Source organism: Homo sapiens, chromosome 3, assembly GCF_000001405.40.
Source record: "Homo sapiens chromosome 3, GRCh38.p14 Primary Assembly".
Classification (NCBI taxonomy): domain Eukaryota; kingdom Metazoa; phylum Chordata; class Mammalia; order Primates; family Hominidae; genus Homo; species Homo sapiens.
In genome coordinates, this window is record NC_000003.12 from 96,527,986 (window position 1) to 96,530,301 (window position 2,316).

Consider the following 2,316-nt stretch of genomic DNA (forward strand, 5'->3'; position numbering starts at 1 on the left):
AAAACTGTGGCACAAGAACTTTGTGATGCAAGCCCAAGCTTCAATAGCTGATTTGATCAAGTGGAAGAAAGAGTATCAGGATTGAAGATCAAATGAATGAAATAAAGCGAGAAGACAAGGTTAGAGAAAAAAGAGTAAAAAGAAATAAACAAAGTCTCCAAGAAATATGGAACTGTATGAAAAGACCAAATCTATGTTTGATTGGTGTACCTGAAAGTGACGAGGAGAATGGAATCAAGTTGGAAAACACTCTTTAGGATATTATCCAGAGAACTTCCCCAACCTAGCAAAGCAGGTCAACATTCAAATTGTGGAAATACAGAGAACACCACAAAGATACTCCTGGAGAAGAGCAACCCCAAGACACATAATTGTCAGATTCACCAAGGTTGAAATGAAGGAAAAAATGTTAAGGGCAGCCAGAGAGAAAGGTCGGTTACCCAAAAAGGGCAGCCCATCAGACTAACAGAGGATCTCTCAGCAGAAACCCTACAAGCCAGAAGAGAGTGGGGGCCTATATTCAGCATTCTTAAAGAAAAGAATTTTCAACCCAGAATTTCATATCCAGCCAAACTAAGCTTCATAAGCAAAGGAGAAATAAAATCCTTTACCGACAAGAAAATGCTGAGAGATTTTGTCACCACCAGGCCTGCCTTACAAGAGTTCCTGAAGGAAGCACTAAACATAGAAAGAAACAACTGGTACCAGCCACTGCAAAAACATGACAAATTGTAAAGACCATCGATGCTATAAAGAAACTGCATCAGGCCGGGCGTGGTGGTTCATGCCTGTAATCCCAGCACTTTGGGAGGCTGAGGAGGATGGATCACGAGGTCAGGAGATCAAGACCATCCTGGCTAACACGGTGAAACCCCATCTCTACTAAAAATACAAAAAAAAATTAGCCAGGCATGGTGGTGGGCACCTGTAGTCCCAGCTACTCGAGAGGCTGAGGCAGGAGGATGGTGTGCACCCAGGAGGTGGAGCTTGCAGTGAGCCGAGATCATTCCACTGCACTCCAGCCTGGGTGACAGAGAAAGACTCTGTCTCAAAAAATAAAAATAAAAAAAAAAGAAAAGAGACTGCATCAATTAATGGGCAAAATAACAAGCTAACATCATAATGACAGAATCAAATTCACACATAACAATATTATCCTTAAATATAAATGGGCTAAATGCCCCAATTAAAAGACACTGACTGGCAAATTGGATAAAGAATGAAGACCCATCAGTGAAGACCCATCAGGAGACCCATCTCATGGCAGAGACACACATAGGTTCAAAATAAAGGGATGGAGGAAGATCTAACAGGCAATGGGAAAGCAAAAAAAAAAAAAAAAAAAAAAAAGCAGGGGTTTCAATCCTAGTCTCTGGTAAAACAGTCTTTAAACCAACAAAGATCAAAAGAGACAAAGAAGGCCATTACAGAATGGTAAACTGATCAATTCAACAAGAAGAGCTAACTATCCTAAATATATATGCATCCAATACAGGAGCACCCAGATTCATAAAGCAAGTCCTTAGAGACCTACAAAGAGACTTAGAATCCCACACAATAATAATAGGAGACTTTAACACCCCACTGTCAATATTAGACAGATCAACAAGACAGAATGCTAACAAGGATATCCAGGACTTGAACTCAGCTCTGCACCATACAGACCTAATAGATTTCTACAGAACTCTCCACCCCAAATCAACAGAATATATATTCTTCTCAGCACCACATTGCACTTATTCTAAAATGGACCACATAATTGGAAGTGAAGCACACCTCAGCAAATGTAAAAGAACAGAAATCACAACAAACTGTCTCTCAGAACACAGTGCAATCAAACTAGAACTCAGGATTAATAAACTCACTCAAAACCTCACAACATGGAAACTGAACAACCTATTCCTGAATGACTACTGGGTAAATAATGAAATGAAGGCAGAAATAAAGATGTTATTTGAAACCAATGAGAATGAAGACACCACATACCAGAATCTCTGGGACACATTTAAAGCAGTGTGTAGAGGGAAATTTATAGCACTAAATGCCCACAAGAGAAAGCAGAAAAAATCTAAATTTGATACCCTAACATCACAATTAAAAAAAACTAGAGAACCAAGAGCAAACACATTCAAAAGCTAGCAGAAGGCAAGAAATAACTAAGAACAGAGCAGAACTGAAAGTGATAGAGACACAAAAAAACCGTCAAAAAAAATCGATGAATCCAGGAACTGTTTTTTTAAAAATATCAACAAAATTGATAGACCACTAGCAGGACCAATAAAGAAGAAAAGAGAGAAGAATCCAATAGATGCCATA